The following is a 22631-nucleotide window of genomic DNA, read 5'->3' as shown; positions in this document are numbered from 1 at the left end:
CACCAACTAGAATGTCTATTATAAAAAGAGATAATACAAATGTTGTGAGGATCTGGAGAAACTTGAGCCTTCATATCTTGCTGATAAAAATGTAAAATATTACAGAAAAAAGTTTGACATTTCTTAAAAAGTTAAATGTGTATCAAATATTTAAAGGGGAACTACTATTCATACTTTTACAGACTCTTCCAAAAAACAGAAGAAAAAAGAAAGTATTCCAACTCATTCTATGAGGTTTAAAAAATCAAGAGGAATTGAATGCTACAAAACCCTGCTACCAAAACCAGACAAGGACATCAAAAGAAAATAAACTATTGCCCAATATCTCTTATAGATGTAAAAATTCTCAACAAATAATAGCAAACTGAATTCAGCACATATAAAAAGGATCATACTTTATTACCAAGTGGGATTATCCCTGGAGTTGGTTTAACATTTGAAAATCAAAAACTAATGTAGTACACAATATTGATAGAGTAAAAGCCACAACCACATGGTTCACCTCAATAAATGCAGAAGAAGCATTGGACAAAATCCAGTGCTTTTTGATTATTAAAACACTCCAAAAAGTAGGAATAAAAAGTGAACTTTATAAACCTGATAAAAAGCATCTATGAAAAAATTCTCAACTAACACTATCCTTAATGGTGAAAGACTATACTTTTCTCCTAAAATCAGGAGCCAGGAGCAAGAAAAAGATGTTTGTTCCTTCAGTTCTATTGAATAATGTATAGCCAGGACAATTAGGCAAGAAAAATAAATGAAAGGCATTCAGATTGGAAAGGGAGATGGAAAACTATTTGCAGACGACCTGATCTTGTACATAAAAAATTCTAAGGAATTCACTAAAAACTATTACAAGAAATGAGTTCAGCAAAGTTGTGGGATACAAGATTATTATTCAAAAATCCACTATACTTCTCTATACACTAGCAATGAAAAACCCAAAATGAAATTAAGAAAAAAATTCCACTTACCCTAGCACTAAAAAGATAAATACCTAAGAATAATAACAAATGAAGTGCAAGACTTGCACACTGAAAATGACAAAACTTTGTTGTAAGAAATTTAGGATCTAAATAAATAGAAATAGATGTTTATGGATGGAAGACTTAATATTGTCAAAAGGGCAGTACTCCCCAAACTGATCAATAAACCCCTATTAAAATGCCAGTAGGCTTTTTTTATATTCTAAAATTCATATGGAAATTTGAGGATCCCACAATAGCTAAAACAATCTTGAAAAAGAACAAAGTTGGAGAACTCAAACTTTGTAGTATGTTAAAGCATACTATAAAGCTACAATAATCAAGACAGTGTGGTACTGGCATAAGGATAGACACATTGGTTAATTGACAGTCCAGAAGTAAACTCTTACATTTATAATAATTTGATTTTTGACAAGGATGACAAGACAATTCAGTGGAAAAAGAATATTCTTTTTAATAAATGGGGTGGGGACAACTGGATATCTACATGCAAAAGAATGAAGTTGGGTCCTCTACCTCACACTATTTATAATAATTAACTAAAAATGAATCATAGACATAAACACAAGAGCTACAACTATTAAACCCTTCGAAGAAACAGAGGATTAAATCTTTATGGTCACAGGCTGGGCAACGGTTTCTTAGATTTGACACCAAAAGTACAAGAAACAAAATAAAAAGAGATAAATTGGGCTTCATAAAAATTCAAAATTTCTGTGCTTAAAATGACACAGTTAAGAAAGTGAAAAGGCAACCCACAGAATGGGAGAAAATATCTGTAATCATATATCTGATAAGACACTTGTACAAGGGATACATAAAAATTCTAACAACTCTACAATAAAAGACAAATAATCCAGTTATAAAATGGAAAAGGATTTAAGTATATATTTATCCAAAGAAGAGGTACAAATGGCTAATAATCACAGGAAAAGATACTCAGCATCATTAATCATTAGAGAGAGACAAATCAAAACCACAGTGAGATACCACTTCACACTCACTAGGATGGCTAAAATCAAAATGACAGGTAATAATGCTGGCAAGAATGTGGAGAGATCAAAACCCTCACACATTGATGATGGGAAAGTAAAATGATTCAGACATTTAAAGAACATTTTGACGGTACCTCAAAATGTTAAACATAGGGTTACCATATGACCTGGGAATTCTACGGCTAGATGTAAACCCAAGAGAATGAAAACATATGTCCATACAAAAACCTGTACACAAATGTTCATAGGAGCATTATTCATATTGCCTCTGTTTATAGAGATAATCCAAATGTCCATCAGCTGATGAATGGATAAACAAAATGTGACACATTCATATAATGGAATACTACACTGCAGTAACAAGGAATGAATTGCTGATATCTGCTATAATGTGGATGACCCTCAAAAACATTATCTTCAGTTAAAGAAGCCAGTCACAAAAGACCAGATATTGCATGATTCTATTCATATGAAATGTCCAGAATAAGCAAGTCTGTAGAGACAAAGTAGATTAGTGGTGGCCTAGTGCTGAGAGAGAGGGTTGGGGGAAAATAGGGTTTGACTACTGATGGGTACGGGGTTTCATTTTTGGAGTGACAAAAATATTCTAAAATTAGGTCGAGGTGATGGTTGTACATCCATCCAGTGAGTATACTAAAAACTATTGAATTGTATATTTTAAATGGGTGAATTTTATGGAATATGAATTATGTCTCAATAAAGCTGTTAAGAAAAAGTAAAACATGTTAAGCATAAAGTTATCAATCTAGTCCTAGGAATTTACCCAAGAGAAACAAAATATATTTCCATTCCACATAATATTTTTTCAGATGTTCATCACAGATTACGGTGCATGGGAGGAGGACTAGATTGCAGTTCCAGCAGAGCGGCATGTGGAGGCCTGCATTATGAATTTTAGCTCCAGATTGACTGCAAGAACAAACAAGCAGTCCTGAGAGGACCCACAGACCCTCTGAAGCAAGTGGACTTCTCCTGCAGGACCCAGGAGACACCCCAAATACCGTGAGTGCCCCGAGTGTGGAAGTGGGAAAGGGAGACCCTCCTCTCCTGAACACACACCCCCACTGGAGAAGCTGAAGGACTGTTTGTGGGAGAAGTTTCTGACTTTATCTGGAGCTGAGTCAAGTTAGAGAGCCCAGCTGAGTGAAATACAGGGGTAGAGAAAGCAGCAGGAAGGCCCTGGGAGCTTGCTGGCTCCCCAAGCAGCCCATTCCTGCCTGGCACCACAGGGATCCATCAGGAGAGTGGCTGGAGGAGCAGGGGGTAAAACTCCACAGGGAGAAGGAATTCTCTAGCTGAACTTTGTAACAGTTTGAATGGGGTGAGAAGCCTCCTGGTGAGAACACGGAGGAGGGCGGGAATATGGCTTGCAGACTTCATGGTGGGGAATAACTAAAGCCCTTTTCTTTCACAGCTGGGAGGCGGAAAGCCCCGGGCAGGTTTTCAAGCCGTATCGCCCTCTGACTGGAAAAAGACTCAGGGCTCTTGCAGAGGGCACAGTGTGAATGAGACTAGTCTTTCAGATTCTGTGGGAGCTGGGTGACGCCTGTGACTGCTGGCTTTCCCCCACTTCCCAGACAACCTGCATGACTCAGCAGAGGCAGCCATAATCCTCCTAAGTACACAACTCCAGTGACCTGGGAATCTCACTCCCGTCCCCACAGCAGCCGCAGCAAGACCCACCCAAGGAGAGTCTGAGCTCAGACATGCCTAGCCCTGCCCGCACCTGATGGTCCTTCCCTACGCACCCTGGTAGCGGAAGACAAAGGGCATACAATCTTGGGAGTTCTAGGGCCCTGCCCACCGTTGGTCCCTCTCCACACTACTACAGCTGATGCATTCTGGAAAGCAGCATCTTCTGGCAGGAGACCAGGCAGCACAAAAACAGAGCATTAAACCACCAAAGCTAAGGACCCTCACGGAGTCCATTGCACCCTCTGCCACCTCCACTGGAACAGGCGCTGGTATCCACAGCTGAGAGGCCCATAGATGGTTCACATTACAGGACTCTGTGCAGACAACCCCCAGTATCAGCCTGGAGCCAGGTAGACTTGCTGGATAGCTAGACCCAGAAGACAGACAACAATCACTGCAGTTTGGCTCACAGGAAGCCACATCCACGGGAAAAGGGGGAGAGCACTACATCAAGGGAACACCCCATGGGATGAAAAAATCTGAACAACAGCCTTCAGCCCTAGACCTTCCCTCTGACAGAGCCTACCCGAATGAGAAGGAACCAGAAAACCAACCCTGGTAATATGACAAAACAAGGTTCTTCAACATCCCCCCAAAATCACACTAGCTCACCAGTAATGGATCCAAACCAAGAAGAAACCCCTGATTTACCTGAAAAAGAATTCAGGAGGTCAGTTATTAAGCTAATCAGGGAGGGAACAGAGAAAGGTGAAGCCCAATGCAAGGAAACCCAAGAAGTGAAGGGAGAAATATTCAAGGAAATAGATAGCTTAAAGAAAAAACAATAAGAAATTCAGGAAACCTTGGACATACTTTTAGAATTGCTAAATGCTCTGGAAAGTCTCAGCAATAGAATTGAACAAGTAGCAGAAAGAAATTCAGAGCTGGAAGACAAGGTCTTCAAATTAACCCAATTCAACCAAGACAAAGAAAAAAGAATAAGAAAATATGAACATAAACCCAAGAAGCCTGGGTTTATGTTAAACGACCAAACCTAAGAATAATCAATGTACCTGAGAAAGAAGACAATTCTAAAAGCTTAGAAAACATATTTGGGGGAGTAATCGAGGAAAACTTCCCTAGCTTTGCTAGAGACATAGACAGGCAAATATAAGAAGCACAAAGAGGCCAGGGACGGTGGCTCACACCTGTAATCCCAGCACTTTGGGAGGCTGAGGCAGGTGGATCATATGAGGTCAGGAGTTCAAGATCAGCCTTGCCAACATGGTGAAACCCCATCTCTATTAGAAATACAAAAAATAAAATAAATAAAAAATAAACAAACAAATAAATAAATTAGCTGGGCTTGGGGGGCATTCACCTGTAATCCCAACTACTTGGGAGGCTGAGGCAGAATTGCTTGAACCTGGGAGGTGGTGGTTGCAGTGAGCTGAGACCATGCCACTGCCCTCTATCCTGGGCGACAGAGTGACACTCCATCTCAAAAATAAATAAATAAAGAAAGAAGCACAAAGAACACCTGGGAAATTCATTGCAAAAAGATCTTTGCCTAGGCACATTGTCATCAGGTTATCCAAAGTTAAAATGAAGAAAAGAATCCTAAGAGCTGTGAGACAGAAGCACCAACCTATAAAGGAAAACCTATCAGATTAATAGCAGATTTCTCAGCAGAAACCCTACAAGCTAGAAGGAATTGGGGCCCTATTTTCAGCTTCCTCAAACAAAACGATTATCAGCCAAGAATTTTGTATCCAGCAAAACTAAACATCAAATTTGAGGGAAAGATACAGTCATTTTTAGATAAACAACTGCTGAGAGAATTCTCCATTACCAAGCCACTGCTACAAGAACTGCTAAAACAAGCTCTAAATCTTTAAACAAATCCTGGAAACACATCAAATCATAACCTCTTTAAAGCATAAATCACACAGGACCTATAAAACAAAATATAAGTTAAAAAGCAAAAACGAAATACAAAAAACAAAGCAAAGTACAAAGGCAACAAAGAGCATGATGAATGCAACAGTACCTCACATTTCAATACTAACTTTGAATGTAAATGGCCTAAATGCTCCACTTAAAAGATACAGAACCACAGAATGGATAAGAACTCACCAACCAAACTATCTGCTGCCTTCAGGAGACTCACCTAACACATAAAGACTCACATAAAGTAAAGGGGTGGAAAAAGGCATTTCATGCAAATGGACACCAAAAGCGAGCAGGGGTGTCTATTCTTATATCAGACAAAACAAACTTTAAAGCAATAACAGTTAAGAGAGACAAAGAGGGACATTATGTAATGGTAAAAGGCCATGTCCAACAGGAAAATATCACAGTCCTAAACATATATGCACCTAACACTGGAGCTTCCAACTTTATAAAATGATTACTAATAGACCTAATAAATGAGACAGACAGCAACACAATAATAGTGGGGGACTTCAATACTCCACTGACAGCACTAGACAGGTCATCAAGACAGAAAATCAATGCAGAAACAATGGACTTAAACTATACCTTGGAACAAATGGACTTAACAGATATATACAGAATATTTTATCCAGCAACTGCAGAATACACATTCTATTAAACAGTGCATGGGACTTTCTCCAAGACAGGCCATATGATAGATCATAAAATGAGCCTCAATAATTTTAAGAAAATTGAAATTATATCAAGCACTCTCTCAGACCACAGTGGAATAAAACTGGAAATCAACTCCAAAAGGAACCCTCAGAACCATGCAAATACACGGAAATTAAATAACCTCCTTCTGAGTGAGCATTGGGTCAAAAACAAAATCAAGATGGAAATTAAAAATGTCTTCAAACTGAATGACAATAATGACACAACCAATCAAAACCTCTGGGATACAGCTGAGGCAGTGCTAAGAGGAAAGTTCATAGCCCTAAACGCCTACATCAAAAAGTCTGAAAGTGCACAAACAGACAATCTAAGGTCATACCTCAAAGAACTAGAGAAGCAGGAACAAACCTAACCCAAACCCAGGAGAAGAAAGGAAATAACCAAGATCAGAGCAGAACTAAATGAAATTGAAACAAACAAACAAAAAAATACAAAAGACAAATGAAACAAAAGCTGGTTCTTTGAAAAGATAAATAAAATTGATAGATCATTTGGATTTATCTTTGAAAAGATAAATAAAATTGATAGACCATTTGGATTTTCTCTCTTCTTTTCTTAGACAAAACAAGATTAACCAAGACAAGAAGAGAGAAAATCCAAATAATCTCACTAAGAAATGAAACAGGAGATATTACAACTGACACCACTGAAATACAAAAGATCATTTAAGGCTACTATGAACACCTTTATGCAGATAAAGTAGAAAACCTAGAAGAGATGGATAAATTCCTGGAAAAATATAACTCTCAAAGCTTAAATCAGGAAGAATTAGATAACCTGAACAGACCAATAACAAGCAGCAAGATTGAAACGGTAATTAAAAAATTACCAACAAAAAGAGTCCAGGACCAGATGGAGTCACAGCAGAATTCTACCAGACATTCAAAGAAGAACTGGTACCAATTGTTTTGACACTATTCCACAAGACAGAGAAAGAAAGAACCCTCCCTAATTCATTCTATGAAGCCAGCATCACCCTAATACCAAAACAAGGAAAGGACACAACCAAAAAAGAAAACTACAGACTGATACCCTTGATGAACATAGATGCTAAAATCCTTAACAAAATGCTAACTACAAAATCCAACAGCATATCAAAAAGGTAATCCACCATGATCAAAAGGGTTTCATACCAGGGATGCGGGGATGGTTTAACATAAGCAAGTCAATAAATGTGATCCACCACATAAACAGAATTAAAAACAAAAATCATATGATCATCTTAATAGATGCAGAAAAAGCATTTGACAAAATCCAGCATCCCTTTATGATTAAAACCCTCAGCAAAATAGGCATACAAGGGACATACCTTAATGTAATAAAAGCCATCTATGACAAACCCACAGCCAACATAATACTGAATGGGGAAAAGTTGAAAGCATTCCCTCTGAGAATGGGAACAAGACAAGGATGCCCACTCTCACCATTCCTCTTCAACATAGTACTAGAAGCCCTGGCAAGAGCAATCAGACAAGAGAAAGAAATAAAGGGCATCCAAATCGGTAAAGAGGAAGTCAAACTGTCCCTGTTTGCTGATTATATGACTGTTTACCTTGAAAACCCTAAGGACTCTTCCAGAAAGCTTCTAAAACTGATAAAAGAATTTAGCAAAGTTCCCAGATACAAAATTAATGTACACAAATCAGTAGGTCTTTTATACACCAAGCGACCAAGCGGAGAATCAAATCAAGAACTCAACCCCTTTTACAATAGCTGCAAAAAATTAAAATACTTAGGAATATACCTAACAAAGGAGTCAAAAGACCTCTACAAGGAAAACTACAAAACGCTGCTGAAAGACATCATAGATGACACCTACAAATGAAAACACATCCCATGCTCATAGATGAGTAGAATCAATATTGTGAAAAATGACCACATTGCCAAAAGCAATCTATGAATTCAATGAAATCTCCATTAAAATACCATAATCATTCTTCAAGAGTTAGAAAAAACAATTCTAAAATTCATATGGAAACAAAAAAGGAGCCCACATAGCCAAAGCAAGACTAAGCAAAAAGAACAAATCTGGAGGCATTACACTACCTGATTTCAAACTATACAGTAATGCCACAGTCACCAAAACAGTGTGGTACTGGTATAAAAATAGGCACATAGGCCAATGGAACAGAATAGGGAACCCAGAAATAAATCCAAATACTTACAGCCAACTGATCTCTGACAAAGCAAACAAAAACATAAAGTGGGGAAAAGATACCCTTTTCAACAAATGGTGCTGGGATAATTGGCTAGCCACATGTAGGAGAATGAAACTGGATCCTCATCTCTCACCTTATACAAAAATCAACTCAAGATGGATTAGGGACTGAAATCTAGGAACTCAAACTATAAAAATTCTAGAAGATAACATTGGAAAAACCCTTCTAGACATTGGCTTAGGCAAGGATTTCATGACCAAGAACCCAAAAGCAAATGCAATAAAAACAAAGATAAATAGCTGGGACCTAATTAAACTAACGTGCTTTTGCAGGGCAAAAGGAACAGTCAGCAGAATAAACAGACAACCCACAGAGTGGGAGAAAATCTTCACAATCTATACGTCTGACAAAGGACTAATATTAAGAATCTACAACAAATTCAAACAATCCCATCAAAAAGTGGGCTAAGGACATGAATAGACAATTCTCAGAAGAAGATACACAAATGGCCAATAAACATATGAAAAAATGCTCAACATCACTAATGCTCAGGGAAATACAAATCAAAACCACAATTCAATACCACCTTACTCCTGCAAGAATGGCCAGAATCAAAAAATCAAAAAACAATAGATGTTGGCATGCATGCGGTGATCAGGGAACACTTCTACACTGCTGGTGGGAATGTAAACTAGCACAGCCGCTGTGGAAAACAGTGTGGAGATTCTTTAAAGAACTAAAAGTGGAACTACCATTTGATCCAGCAATCCCACTACTGGGTACCTACCCAGAGGAAAAAAGTCATTATTCAAAAAAGATACTTGTACACGCATATTTATAGCAGTACAATTCACAACTGCAAAATCGTGGAAGCAACCCAAATGCCCATCAATCAATGAGTGGATAAAGAAACTGTGGTATATATATATATGATAGAATAATATTCAGCCATAAAAAGGAATGAATTAATAGCATTTGCAGTGAACTGGATGAGATTGGAGACTGTTATTCTAAGTGAAGTAACTCAGGAATGAAAAACCAAATATTGCATGTTCTCGCTGATGTGTGGGAGCTAAGCTATGAGGATGCAAAGGCATAAGAATAATACAATGGACTTCGGGGACTTGGGGAGAAAAGTGGGAGGGGGTGAGGGATAAAAGACTACAAATGTGGTGCAGTGTACACTGCTTGGGTGATGGGTGAACCAAAATCTCAGAAGTCACCACTAAAGAACTTACTCATGTAACCAAATACCACCTGTACCGCAACACATATGGAAAGATAAAATTAAAAAATTTAACAACAACAACAACAACACGTTCATTACAGTGTTATTCATAGAAGACCCAAACTGGACACCATTTAAGGTACATCAACTGGTGAATGGACAAACAAAATGTGGTATGTCCATGCAGTGGAATAGTATTATGGGGTAATACCCCATAATAAAAAGGAGTGAATTACTGACACATGCTACAAGGTATGTAGATGACCCTCCCAAACATGCTTGGTGAAATAAGCAAGACATAATACGGTATAGTTCCATATGTATGAAATGTCCAGAAAAGGCACATCTCTAGAGATAGAAAGCAGATTGGTGGGGCTGAGAATGGAAGCCGAGGTTGCCTGCAAATGGGCATGACAAACATTTCTGGAGTGATGGATATGTTCTATAATTGAATAGTTGTGATGGTTGCACAATTCTCTGAATCTACTAAAAATTATTTAATTATACATTATGATGGGTAAATTTTATATTATTTAAATATATCACAATAAAACTGACTAAAAATTAAGAGTTTCTGTTCCTCAGAAGACAGTACTCAAAGAGTGAAAGGCAAGTCATAAATTGAGATAAAATAATTGCAAAACACATATTGATAAAGGACTACTATTTACAATACATTAAAAAATCTACAAATCAATAAGAAAAAGACCAACAATTCAATGAAAGGGCACAAAGCTCGAGGAGGCACTTCACAAAAAAGAATATCCAAAGTGACCAATAGGCAAATAAAAACATGCATGATGCCACTGATAATCGGTTAAATGAAAATTAAAGTATTATTAGTTACCACTACATCTCTACTAGATTGGCTAAATTTAAAGGAGCGACAATACTAAGTGTTGGAAAAAACGTGGAGTAACTGTCACTTTCATACATTGCTTATGGGCAGTAGATTAATACAACCCCTTTGCAGTACTGTTTGGTGTATATGAATGCTACACATATCTAAAGTCTATGACCTAGCAACTCTAATCCTTGGTATATACTCAGAAGATTTAGTGCTTATGTCAACCAAAAGATAGGTACAGTATAAAAATTTTCATAGCAGCATGATTTTAAACAGCATCAAATCAAATATAATACAAATGTCCTACTAAAAATGTTTTCTATCTTGATCTGGGCAGTGGTTAAACAAGTAAGTGTGTGTGTGTGTGTGTGTGTGTGTGTATGTGTGTGTGTGTAAAAATTTTTCTCCGCTGTATGCATATTTGTACATTTTACTGTATGCATTTTATAACATTGTAATCAAAAAGCAAATAGATTTATGTATGAGCTTCATTTTGACAACATAAGCACAGGATATGTCGTCGAGAAACTAATGAAAATTTTACTTCTGAAGTGAGTTAGAACAAGGTTGAAGGTATGGGGAAGAGATGGAACGTCCTTGAATGTATCTGTTCATGTTTTGATTTCTGAATCACATTAATATTTTAAATATTCAAAAATAAAATTACATCAATAAGGATGAAAACATAAATTTTAGGGGATAGCTGTAGAAACAGAGATGTTGACAGGTAATTTCATCTGCTATTTTACAATTTCCAGTCTTCCTTGGAATTAGGTAGGGGCCATAGGACTAGTTCTAGATCAAAAGCTCTAAGTAGGAGCCTCTGAGCTGAAAGGTGGAACACTGACCTGATTCCTCTCTGTGCTCTCTTCCCTGCTTTGGCAGTCATGGAGGTCGTGTCCTCTGAATGTGGACCTGTGAGTCTCCACATGGCACACAATTGCTCTGAAATTACCCAACTTGCACGAGAGCTTTTGAGAGTGAGAAATAAACATTTTGATTTGGAGGTTGGTTTGTTGCCTCAGTCCTCAGCAGAGCCTAGCCGATTCTGACTATGTCAGGGATGATATAAAATTGAGGCGAATTGTTGAGAGGGAAGACGTGTAGTGGCTGTATCAGGGGAATTGGAGAAAGTGATAAAAGGTTTTCTATAATCCTGAGAAGAATAAACGTGGGAAAATTTTTGGAATATTAGAGTTAGAAGAAAGCTAGGGACACAACTCTATCCCTTTCAGTATAAGACAAAGAAACTCAGACCAGAGGGACTAATGATTAGGTCAAGAGCACATGACAAGTTGTTGCGGGACAGGTTGTTACTGGTGGAGGGTGTTCAGGTTCTTGGCGTCTTAAACAAAGAAATGGACAAAACACACAAACGAAGGAAAGAATGAAGTAACAAAGGCAGAGATTTAACGAAAATAAAAGTACACTCCACAGGATGGGAGCAGACTGGTTACAGAATTTTCTGGGGTTTAAATACCCTCTAGGGGTTTCCCATTGGTTACTTGGTATATACCCTATGTAAATGAAGTAGTGGCTCATGATCAGTCTGATTGGTTGCGGAAAGTGACCAATCAGAGGCTGAAGTGAAGTTATAAAGTTATATCTCTATGCAAATGAAGACCTGGCCCACAACCAGCCTGATTGTGGGAGGGGAGCAATCAGAGATACTTTCAGTTTTTCATCTGCCATGCAGAAAAGGAGAGGGTTGCAAAGGGCGTAGCCTCTGGTCTTTTTGTTACTTGGGCACGGAAAGTTGGGGTTTTCCTTTTGATTTAGTTCTAGGAAGTCAGTGTAAATCGGCCTTAGGTTTCCTGGCTCCAGACCCCATCCTCCTGCCTGGAGGTGAGCTCCCAAATTAGTGCTTTCCCAAGAAAAGAATTCAAGGGTCAGCCAATGGTGTTAGACAGCAATCTTTTATTCAATGGTTCTGCTCCTTGAAGCAGGGTAACTCATAGGAGTGCACCCAGAGCCTGAAATGCAGGGGCTCTTGGCAACGGCATTTATACTCACATACATCATTTTCAAAGGGAGGCCATTGTCACATCACCATGGGTCAGCCAATCAGGTGGACACCTCCCTTCAATGACCTTCCTGTCCCATAGGAGTTCTCAGGCAGCTTCAATGGAAGGAGGGAGCCAAGAAGGGGGCCTGGTATACATTCAAAGATGATAATTACGACATGGATTGTGTATATTCTTGCTCGGAAAGGTGTAGGGCTTCCCTTCCTACCAATAACCAGTTCGGTAAGCAGCTTGGTGGTAGTCACATGGAATAATTTTTCATATATCTTCTCCCCCTGTGGGACCCTGCTGCACTTCATAGAGATCTTACAAATAAATTTGAGTAACAGTTGCGGGGGCTGGGTGGGAAGAGCTGAATTTCTAGGTTTTCTGAGGTCACCAACTTGCCAATTTGTTCCAGGACATTGACGTTGTGGAAAGTGAGGCTGTGTCTGTACTACATCATTGGTTGAAAAAAGTGAGTAAGATTTCTTTATGACTCAGGATATCCAAAATGCTAGAGAAGTGGTCTCAGTGGGTGTGGGGATCTGGACTTCCTTCTTCATGGAACTGGAACTCAAGTTCATTGCCAGACACCCTTCCTAGATTTGAGTCTAATTTCTTCACATGTGCTGGAGGACACTGTGGCTTGTGTCCTGGCAGGAAATGTGTTAGCACCACCACTAACGCCGTCCTGCTTCTCAAGCATCCTGGCTTAAGGGTTTCAGCTGCATCCTTCCCAGCTCAAGGGTGTCTCAGGAACACCTTGGGATAGGGCCAGGGACTTAGGGAGTTCTGAGGACTTTACAGGGAAGTAGCTTATTGTGGGAACAGTGAGGTAAGGAGTGTATGTGTGTGAATATGTGGTGTGTGAGTTGTGATGGAGAATGAATAAAAGGAAAGGAAGAGGAGAAGAAGACCCAGGGTTGGATGCAGAGTGACATTTTCAGAGGGAATTTCTCACCTTTCAGACAGAAGAAGAGGCTTCTCGGGGCATAAAGGAAAAGCTGTCCATCAACCACCCTTCCCAGGGTGTAAGGGAGAAGATGTCCACTGACTCCCCTCCCACCCATGGCCAGGACATCCACGTGACCAGAGATGTGGTAAATGAGAGTTTGAGACCTTGCCTGGGAGTAGCGGTGAGGGAGAGGGGAGAGGTGGGAGGTGCACCGTAAATGATTCTGGGCAAGGGTGAGGTGCTCGTCTGGGCTCTGTGCCAGCCCAGTTGGGGGCCACACTGGGCAGGAATCACATGGACCCTCTGGATTTCCCAGGTGAAGCACCACCTCTCTAAGTCTGATTTGTTGGCAAACCAGAGCCAAGAGGTCCTAGAGGAGAGAACACGAATCCAGTTCATAAGATGGAGGTAAGGTGTCCCACTTGCCCTGGGCGAAGGAAGGGGAGGGAGAGATGCGCAAGCCCCTCTCTTCACGAACCCTCAGATGCTCTTCTCTAGAGATGTCGTCTTTGGCTGACAAATTCCTCAGCCTTGCTTTGGGGTCTTAAGGGAATATCCTTGCTATCTTGAAAGCCCAGCTCATTTCTACATTTTTAAATGACTTGAGGGGTTGGAAAACTGGGCTTGCACTCCATTTCTTAAATGCTTCTGAATACATTTCAGATTTCTGTTATTTTTGCACTTGAGTTGCTCAGAAGTGGCTGCACTTTAAAGAGCTAAAAGAAAATAAGCTCTTAAAATGCAAAAGCCAAAGTTTTCATCTGCAACTGAGGTGTGGGGAGGCTTCCCAGCGCCCGAGGCTAGAATTCTGCACTCGGTTATGGTGGCTTCGCCAGCGTCCCGGGTGCCTGCCAGCTCACAGCCGTCCCCACTGCCTCTCGTGGCTCTGCAGATGCTGAGCCCCGAGGCCCAGGGAGCTGGCCTGAAGCCATCATGCTTCAGACAGAGGCTTTCCTATTTCCTTTCCTGCACCTGTGTTCACTGGGGGTCTCTGGAGCACATCAGCCACCCCTTCCCAGGAGAGGGACTGAGGGCTTAGACTGGTCCTACGGGAACCTGAAGGAGACTTCTCCCCTTCCTCCTCTCTTCCTCCTTTCCCTGCCGCATCATCGATGTTGATCTGTTGTATCAAGGAGGCTCCATTTCTCAAGAAACGGTTTCCATGTGCTTACCCCTTCTAGTGGCATCTGCCTTTTAGGAAGACTCAAATGCACAGTAATTTCATAACCAAAAGGAATAACATGGTGGGATCTGAGAGCTCCCTGGGAAAGAGTTTTTTTGGATGGGAAGCCTTCTGAGGCCCCTAAAATCATAAATGTTGTTGATTATAATCCAGGCTTTTCTGTGCCTGACGTGGTTGTGCTATGGAATTGCGGACATTGTGCTCCTTGGTTTGGATAACACACACATCATCTTCCAATATTTTAAAAATCTCGTCTGTATAAAAAAACTAGTTTTAAGCTTTTCAGACAGGCTACAGGAATCAGTCAATTATTTACATATAATTTTTCCACTCTGGATTTTCTACAAAGATTTTAAACCAAAAGCCTCCGCCTATCTCCCCCCACAACCCACTGGTTTTGGTGTCCCCCTCTTATTTCAGTAAGTATATAGTCAGGAAATATATATATCCCTTTATGAAACAAAGCAAGGAGGCTCCCCAGGGGACCCCACAGCTTCCTCGCTGTAGGCTTTCCTAGAAGCATCTCTGAACCACAGTGGGTGTGGGGTGATGCAGGTCATCAAGAGCTGATGATAGGAGAGGAATTCAGAAGACTGAATTCAGAAGGGTGAATTCCACGGCTCACGAGACCACTGCTTGCTGCCTTTAGTAAGGGCACTCAGCTCTGTGTCCCTGGCTCTCCCCGGGACAGTCTGCTACCTGTTCAGCATTACTGGGGGCTCAAGGGTACCTGGTTAGTAAAAAAAAGCTTTGTGCTCATGAGTCAAGAAGGGGGAGAGACCAGCTCAAAAGTTCATGGTGTCAGGGCAAGAGTCATTGTTTGCAGGATCCCATCTCTAGCAGCTCTCTATGCCTGTTAAGAAAGAAACTCAGATCCCATATGCCAATGTACGAATGGCCTTTTGCAGCCACACTCGTATCTTCCAAGTGCCAAGTGAGATGACAGAGGACATCATGCGAGATCGAATAGAGCAGGTGAGACGAAGGTAAGCTGTTTGGAACTGCTTGATTTGTGTTCCTGACTGGGGGCAGGTAGGGTGGGGGTGACTGCTGGGTTTCCCGCCCACACCCAGCAATGCTATCTCTGGTATGCCAACATCAAGAGCAGAGACACACAGTTCCCAGGGCTGCGTCTTGTCTTCTGTGCTCCACATGACAGGGCTTTGCCAGCCTCCCATGGTGTCTGCCAGTGCACAGAAGGGCTTCAGGCTGTGGGCCTGTTCATATGACTGTGCTCCCAGGCCCAGTGTGGCCACGGCCTAGGCACGGCCTGCCCTCCCACCGCAGCCCCTGTGCCGTGGTCTGGGTAGGCTCTGCTATCAGGCAGCCTCCCTCCACCTGGCCCTTCTCCTCTGTCCCCTGCAGCATATCCCGTCTTACAGATGTCTCAGCTCAGGACTTCAGTATGAGACCCTCCTCCTCAGACTGCTGAGAGCAACAGGTGAGAGAGCTGACGGATGAGGAACTGGGCAGAGAAGATGGTTATCCTGGGCAGTGGGAAGGGGCACTGCAGCTGGGAACTTGGTAAAGAGGCTTAGCTTTTCCCTACTGGGGAAGGGCCTGCACTCAGGGCCAGTAGTGGGAGAGGAGGGCTGGCTGCCTTAGGCTCCCGCAACGCCTCTCTTAAGTTTGTGGAAGGACTTGAAGTCAAATTTGATTGGTTTCCTGACTCTGTGGTGTCAGAGAGCACTGCCTCTCCATCATTCATGGGCCCGGGCTTTCGTGTTTAGGAGGTTGTGGTGGAGCCTGCAATTTTGCATTTCTAAAAGTTTCTGGGCATTGTCACTGCTGGTCTGCTGACCTCACCTTGAGTCACAGATCGTAGTGTCAGGAGTGATGCTGTGTAGGTTTTAGACCTGCCACCAACTTGTGATGTGACTTTTGGTCCCATGGCCACTTGCCTTGTGCTTGGCCCGGTGGTCACACGGGGGCTGTTTATGAGGCCCTGGGAGGTGGAAGGCCAATGGCAGGATAAACAACCACAAGAGCTATCCGGGATGCAGTCCCTGAGCCTGTGGTGAACAGCTGTGCTGACCATCCTGCGGCTAAGGGAGAGATTTAGGCACAGCGACCTCAGCATGCTTACAGGAAGGCTGTTGGAGAGCAGTACCGGCATTTATCAAGGACTTACTGTATACCAGCTTCTGCACAAGGTAGTTTGTCAGGGTTTATCATTTGATCCAAAAACAACCTTAAGAGAGGGCGTTGTTGTGCCCATTATACAGAAGGCAGAACTTAAGTCAAGCCCGGGAGCAGATGCTGGGTTCCAATTCAGCTCCACCATGGGCAAGTTACATAATGCCACTGTGCCTCAATTTCCTCAATGCAACAGAGTATCTACTTTGGAGGGTTGTCTTGGGGGTGATGGTGTCTAGCACATGGTAAATGCCGCATCAATTGTTTGCTCATATTACTAGAGAAGAACAGGAAGTGCTGGGAGGGTACACAGTTCGCAGGGGCTTCTGAGCTGGAAGAAACAGACTCAGGCTTCAATTCCAGCTGCCTGATGCACCACTGACGATTCTTCCATGGGTTTCTGCTCTCTAGATGGAGCTTTGGGAACGCGGAGAACAGTGGGGTTACAGGGAGTCATCATCAGCCCTACCCCTTGGCCAACCACATCTCCCTGCTGTGTCCCCTGGGCATTTCTCTACCTCCCAGGTGGAAGTCCTTCAGGGTCCAGCAGCAACCTGTATCAGAAGAACATCCTTCTCTGCTTGACCTGAAGAAGGGCCAGACCTGGGCAGAAAGACTCCAGCAGGTGAGCTCTTCATGCGACAGTGTCAGCACTGGAGTCTTCTTGCTGAACTGCGAATAAAGAGATGTGCTGTTTAACAACCCGCCCTGTTGCTGGTTGGGGTGCTGTGCCATTCATTTGTCCATTCATCAGATGCTGAGTACCTCACAGGCCTGGCTCTGGGGACACATGACTTACAGCCTTGAGGGAGACAGACAGCAGCCGTTCCAGCAATGTGACAATGGCGATATTGGTGCTCCTGGAACATAAGAAGGAGTGCTCTGTGGCTGGGGCAGGGAGAACTTTTTGAGGGAAGTGTGCTGGTTTGTTTCAGACATTTATGTTATCTGCACTTATTCCTTCTCTAGCTCTCTTCCTTTTTAATGTAGATTTGAGTTTCTGCCCTATATCCTTTTCCTTCTCTTTGAAGAACTCCTTTTAAGGTTTCTTGCAAGGTAGCTGTACTAGTGACAATTTCCTTCAATTTTTGATGGTTGGAGAGTCTTTATTTGTCCTTCTTTTGAAAGGTAATTTTGCAAGATACGGAATTCTAGGCTGACAATCTTTTTTTCTTTCAACACTTAAATATTTTACTCCACTCTCATCTTGCTTGTACGGTAACCGAGGAGAAGCTGGATATAATTTCTATCCTTGTTCCTCTATAGATAAGGTGTTTTCCCTTTCAAGAAATTTTGTCTTTGATTTTCTGCAGTTTGAATGTGATATGACTAGGTATAGTTATTATTGTTATTATTATTATTATTTTTTGCATTTATCTTGCTTGGTGTTCTCTGAGATTCCAGGATCTGTTGTTTGGTGTCTGTCATTAATTTTGGAAAATTCTCAACTACTAATCAAACTCTTTTTTGCGGGTATTCTTCTCTCTTTTTATTCTCCTTCTTGTCTTCCCGTTACACATATGTGACACCTTTTGAGATTGTCCCACAGTTTTTGGAAAATGTTTCACTTTTTTCCACTCTTTTCTTTTTCTCTTTGTGTTTCAGTTTGGGTAGATTCTACTGACATTTCTTTTTTTTAAATTTTTTAATTATTATTACACTTTAAGTTTTAGGGTACATGTGCACAACTTGCAGGTTTGTTACATATGTATACATGTGCCATGTTGGTGTGCTGCACCCATTAACTCGTCATTTAACATTAAGTATATCTCCTAATGCTATCCCTCCCCCCTCCCCTACCCCACAACAGGCCCCGGATTGTGATGTTCCCCTTCCTGTGTCCATGTGTTCTCATTGTTCAATTCCCACCTATGAGTGAGGACATGCGGTGTTTGGTTTTTTGTCCTTGTGATAGTTTGCTGAGAAAGATGGTTTCCAGTTTCATCCATGTCCCTACAAAGGACATTAACTCATCATTTTTTATGGCTGCATAGTATTCCATGGTGGATATGTGCCTCATTTTCTTAATCCAGTCTATCATTGTTGGACATTTGGGTTGGTTGCAAGTCTTTGCTATTGTGAATAGTGCCGCAATAAACATACGTGTGCATGTGTCTTTATAGCAGCATGATTTATAATCCTTTGGGTATATACCCAGTAATGGGATGGCTGGGTCAAATGGTATTTCTAGTTCTAGATCCCTGAGGAATCGCCACGCTGACTTCCACAATGGTTGAACTAGTTCACAGTCCCACTAACAGTGTAAAAGTGTTCCTATTTCTCCACATCCTCTCCAGCACCTGTTGTTTCCTGACTTTTTAATGATCACCATTCTAACTGGTGTGAGATGGTATCCCATTGTGGTTTTGATTTGCATTTCTCCGATGGCCAGTGGTGATGAGCATTTTTTCATGTGTTTTTTGGCTGCATAAATGTCTTCTTTTGAGAAGTGTCTGTTCATATCCTTTGCCCACTTTTTGATGGGGTTGTTTGTTTTTTTCTTGTAAATTTGTTTAAGTTCACTGTAGACTGTGGATATTAGCCCTTTGTCAGATGAGTAGGTTGCGAAAATTTTCTCCCATTTTGTAGGTTGCCTGTTCACCCTGATGGTAGTTTCTTTTGCTGTGCAGAAGCTCTTTAGTTTAATTAGATCCCATTTGTCAATTTTGGCTTTTGTTGCCATTGCTTTTGGTGTTTTAGACATGAAGTCCTTGCCCATGCCTATGTCCTGAATGGTATTGCCTAGGTTTTCTTCTAGGGTTATTATGGTTTTAGATCTAACATGTAAGTCTTTAATCCATCTTGAATTGATTTTTGTATAAGGTGTAAGGAAGGGATCCAGTTTCAGCTTTCTACATATGGCTAGTCAGTTTTCACAGCACCATTTATTAAATAGGGAATCTTTTCCCCATTGCTTGTTTTTGTCTACTGACATTTCTTGAAACTCCAATTCTTTCCTCAGCCTTGTCCAGTCTACCAATGAGTCCTTCAAAGACATTCTTTATTCCTATATAGTGTTTTTGATTACTGGCATTTTCTTTAGACTTTTTTTCTTAGAGTTTCCATCTCTCTGTTTACATTACCCATCTGTTCTTGCGTGTTGTCCACTTTCCCCATTAGAGCCCTTAGCATATTTTTCATAGCTGTTTTAAATTCCCAGTCTAATAATTCCAACATATCTGACTGGTTTCTATACTTGCTTTGTCTCATAAAGCTATGTATATATATTTTTAGCAAGCTTTGTAATTATTTTGGGGAAAGCAGGACATGATTTATCAGGAAAAGGAGCTGCGGTAAATAGGCCATTAGTGTGAGGCTGTATGTTTACCTGGCTGGGAGGCTGTGTTTATGGTTTTGTAGCATGTCAGAGGTTAAGGTTTCCTCTGGCATCCTTGTCTTTGTCTTTCTTGTTGTCTTTGAGTGTCCCTAGAGGCTCCTTCTTAAATAGAGTCTGAGGTTTACAGTTATTTCTGCTGTAATCCCGTTATTATATAACCAGGGATTACATAATTATATAATAATTTAACACAATATGGGAAGCCTATATTGTGGTGATAAGTGCGTGGGAGGGGAAGTGTTCTATATTTGCAAGATTAGTTCTCAGTGTTTAGTGAGCCTTTCCCTCTGGGCTGTGACCTTTCTGTGTGATTCTCAGCTTCCCCCCTCATTGACCTTAGGAAAGACAGGAAGGCTAGAGGGGAGGGTCTGGAGTTGGGTATTCCCCTTCTCCCAGGCTGGCTTGGCCCTGGCAAAATAGTTTCCCTTGAGGGTGGGCTCTTGTTAAGGAGAACAGAATGCTCTGGACATATTTAAAAATGGCTACTTTCCCCTTCTCTTTTCATTGTGAGGAGCTAGTAGAGCTCCTAAAGGCAAAACTCATGAAAGTGTGGGGATCCCCCCAATGACTGGGCCCTGGACTTTTTAATAGTCAACATTGTCCACACTTAGCCTCCAGCAATTTGTCAGTTACAGTTTAGGTAGTTTAGGTTTTCCTGCCCAGCACTGTTTCCTGTGGAATTTTGTGTGCCTGGTCTTCTGTCCAGTAAGTTGTGAGTCTCTGTATCCAACTTTCTGCCTTTCCAGTCTTCAGGTCAGTGGTTTGCCTTCTGAGCTCAGTTCTCTGAGGGATTTAAGAAGAGTTGTTGATTTTCAATTTATTCAGTTCTTATTGTTAGGATGAGAGTGATGACTTCCAAGCTCTTTAAATATCAAACTAGAACCCGGAAGTCTTATTGAAGTATTTATTGAGTGTCCACGAGAATGACCACTGATGTTCGCTGAGCACTTTCTATATGCCTGGTCCTATCCAAGGACTTGAAATGTATCCAAGCACTAAGCCAAGCAGGCTTTGGCATAGATATTAGTATTATTATTAGAGAGGAGATAACACAACACGTAGGTTAAGTACCTTGACCAGAGTCACTTTGGTGACTGGAGAGTGCTAGAACCCCAGCCTGGCTTTCTTGACCACTTTGTTATGCTGTGTGTGCACCCCAGACCAGCCCTGGGAATACAGCAATAAATAAGACCCACCTGGTCCCTGCCCTGGTAGAACTTTCATTTTGATGAGGCAGATGAATTTTACACAAACTCATTAGTTGTGAGTCACAATTTTCATAACTACTTGAAAGGTGAAGTCTTACATATAATGGGAACTTGCCTTACTCAGAGAAGAGAACCTAGATTTCTATTTTAAAATCGTCATCCCCATTTTACAGATGAGGGACAGTCAGTCCAGAGAGGCTAAATAGCTTTCCTGATGTCATCCAGCCATGAAATGGCATAGCCAGAGTTTGAATCCAAATGGTCTCATGCCAGAGCCAGTGTCCTTAACCCCTGCCCTCTCCAGCAGAGCTGGGTGAAGGATCAATTCGGTTGTTGTTGGTGGTGAGCTTTACCTGCCAGACACTGCACAAGGAAGGGAGAGAGGCTAAGGTTCCTCCCCTGCCCCACTCTTCCTAGGGGCCAGGACACCTGGACTTTCTCTCCCCACCACCTTTCCCTCCCAGCCTCCCTTTGCCTGCATGCTCCAGTAAGGTAGGGCGAGGGAGTAGAGGATGAGTAGGAGGTAACCAGGCAGAGGGGCAGGAGAGCAGCCAGCCCTGGGCAGCAGCAAGTGAGAGGGCTCTGAGAGGGGAGAGAAGTCTGGCTTCATGGACACACCAAAAACCTATTCTGGCTAGATGGGAGAGAGGGAGTGAGAGGGGGCATGGGGGAGGCTGTCAAGAGGCCGGTTGGGCCATGTGGCAAGTGGAGACCTGGTTAAGGATCCTGCCTTATCCCAGCAGAGACAGGAAACAGGATGTGCAGGAATGTTAAAGCAGGAAGTGATTTTACACGTGGAGACAGGCTGTGCCAAAGGACGGCGGCAGAGAGCCCAGGAAGGATCCACTGGGCAGTGGCAGGTTCGTGTGAGATGGGAGCGGCGATCTGGCGATACATGGCTCCTGGAGTGGGGGAGAAGAAAGGTCCTGGGGGCACAGTTGGGGGATGGTGCTGCCATTAGCTCAGGTAGGTGGGCCTAAGTTGAGGAAATCAGTTCAACTTGGGTCCTGAGTCTGGGTCCCCATCAGATATCCCAGTGGTGATGGACACACAGGGCCTGGGTCCAGGGGAAGCTTGGAGAACACTGAAGGCAGAGAAGTGGCACAAGCCCAGGCTGCTGGAAAGGGGGTCCTGCCTGCTCGAGAATAGCTGCAGCCTGGATGTCAGCGGAGGAGAGGGGTGGAGAGGAGGTAAGCCGGCCTTCCTCAGAGCCCTGAGGGGGCTGTGCCCTTCCAAACGCTCACTCAGGTTTCTTGGGAAGG

At 42.0% G+C, this 22631-nt stretch overlaps 1 protein-coding gene across 4 annotated transcripts, besides 4 other annotated features; it reads left to right on the top strand.

Moving 5' to 3' along the window:
- Window positions 2660–3859: an enhancer, noted in NCBI's record as "MED14-independent group 3 enhancer chr11:133724195-133725394 (GRCh37/hg19 assembly coordinates)". NCBI's record gives its function as "activates an origin of replication core promoter dependent on BRD2, BRD4, P300/CBP and CDK7 cofactors, and independent of MED14, by STARR-seq in HCT116 cells {active_cell/tissue: HCT116}" and the evidence as "EXISTENCE:reporter gene assay evidence [ECO:0000049][PMID:35650434]".
- Window positions 2660–4377: a biological region, named in NCBI's record as "MED14-independent group 3 enhancer GRCh37_chr11:133724195-133725394".
- Window positions 3492–4377: an enhancer, noted in NCBI's record as "NANOG-H3K27ac-H3K4me1 hESC enhancer chr11:133723677-133724562 (GRCh37/hg19 assembly coordinates)". NCBI's record gives its function as "activates a minimal SCP1, AML or CMV promoter by ChIP-STARR-seq in naive H9 embryonic stem cells {active_cell/tissue: H9 hESC(naive)}" and the evidence as "EXISTENCE:reporter gene assay evidence [ECO:0000049][PMID:30033119]".
- SPATA19 (spermatogenesis associated 19) lies at window positions 12646–22229 on the top strand. Of its 4 annotated transcripts, none has more exons than XR_947807.2 (8): window positions 12646–12790; window positions 12969–13025; window positions 13519–13650; window positions 13822–13913; window positions 15597–15674; window positions 16054–16129; window positions 17236–17449; window positions 22113–22229. XR_947807.2 is itself a non-coding variant. In NM_001291992.2 (7 exons), exons 1-6 carry the CDS (start codon window positions 12713–12715, stop codon window positions 16118–16120), a joined length of 504 nt encoding a protein of 167 aa, NP_001278921.1. In that variant the 5' UTR covers window positions 12646–12712; the 3' UTR covers window positions 16121–16129; window positions 17350–17528. The 4 variants fall into 4 exon arrangements, 2 of the variants coding, with proteins under 2 accessions (NP_001278921.1, NP_777587.1); XR_947806.2 differs by having other exon boundaries at window positions 22110–22229; NM_001291992.2 differs by lacking the exon at window positions 22113–22229 and having other exon boundaries at window positions 17350–17528.
- Window positions 15416–15958: an enhancer, noted in NCBI's record as "H3K4me1 hESC enhancer chr11:133712096-133712638 (GRCh37/hg19 assembly coordinates)". NCBI's record gives its function as "activates a minimal SCP1, AML or CMV promoter by ChIP-STARR-seq in naive H9 embryonic stem cells {active_cell/tissue: H9 hESC(naive)}" and the evidence as "EXISTENCE:reporter gene assay evidence [ECO:0000049][PMID:30033119]".
- Window positions 22230–22631: the final 402 nt, after the last annotated feature.

This window comes from Homo sapiens, chromosome 11 (genome assembly GCF_000001405.40).
Source record: "Homo sapiens chromosome 11, GRCh38.p14 Primary Assembly".
Taxonomy (NCBI): domain Eukaryota; kingdom Metazoa; phylum Chordata; class Mammalia; order Primates; family Hominidae; genus Homo; species Homo sapiens.
Note: the sequence above shows the minus strand (reverse complement) of the source record. Positions and strands in the feature narration are given on the sequence as shown.

Bases quoted from the DNA above. Each gene is read 5' to 3' on its own strand.
- SPATA19 (NM_001291992.2), top strand. From the start codon at position 12,713: ATGATAATTACGACATGGATTGTGTATATTCTTGCTCGGAAAGGTGTA. The intron at 13,651-13,821 runs GTAAATGAGAGT...TGGATTTCCCAG, and splicing joins TCCACGTGACCAGAGATGTG to GTGAAGCACCACCTCTCTAA. The intron at 13,914-15,596 runs GTAAGGTGTCCC...GGCCTTTTGCAG, and splicing joins ATCCAGTTCATAAGATGGAG to CCACACTCGTATCTTCCAAG.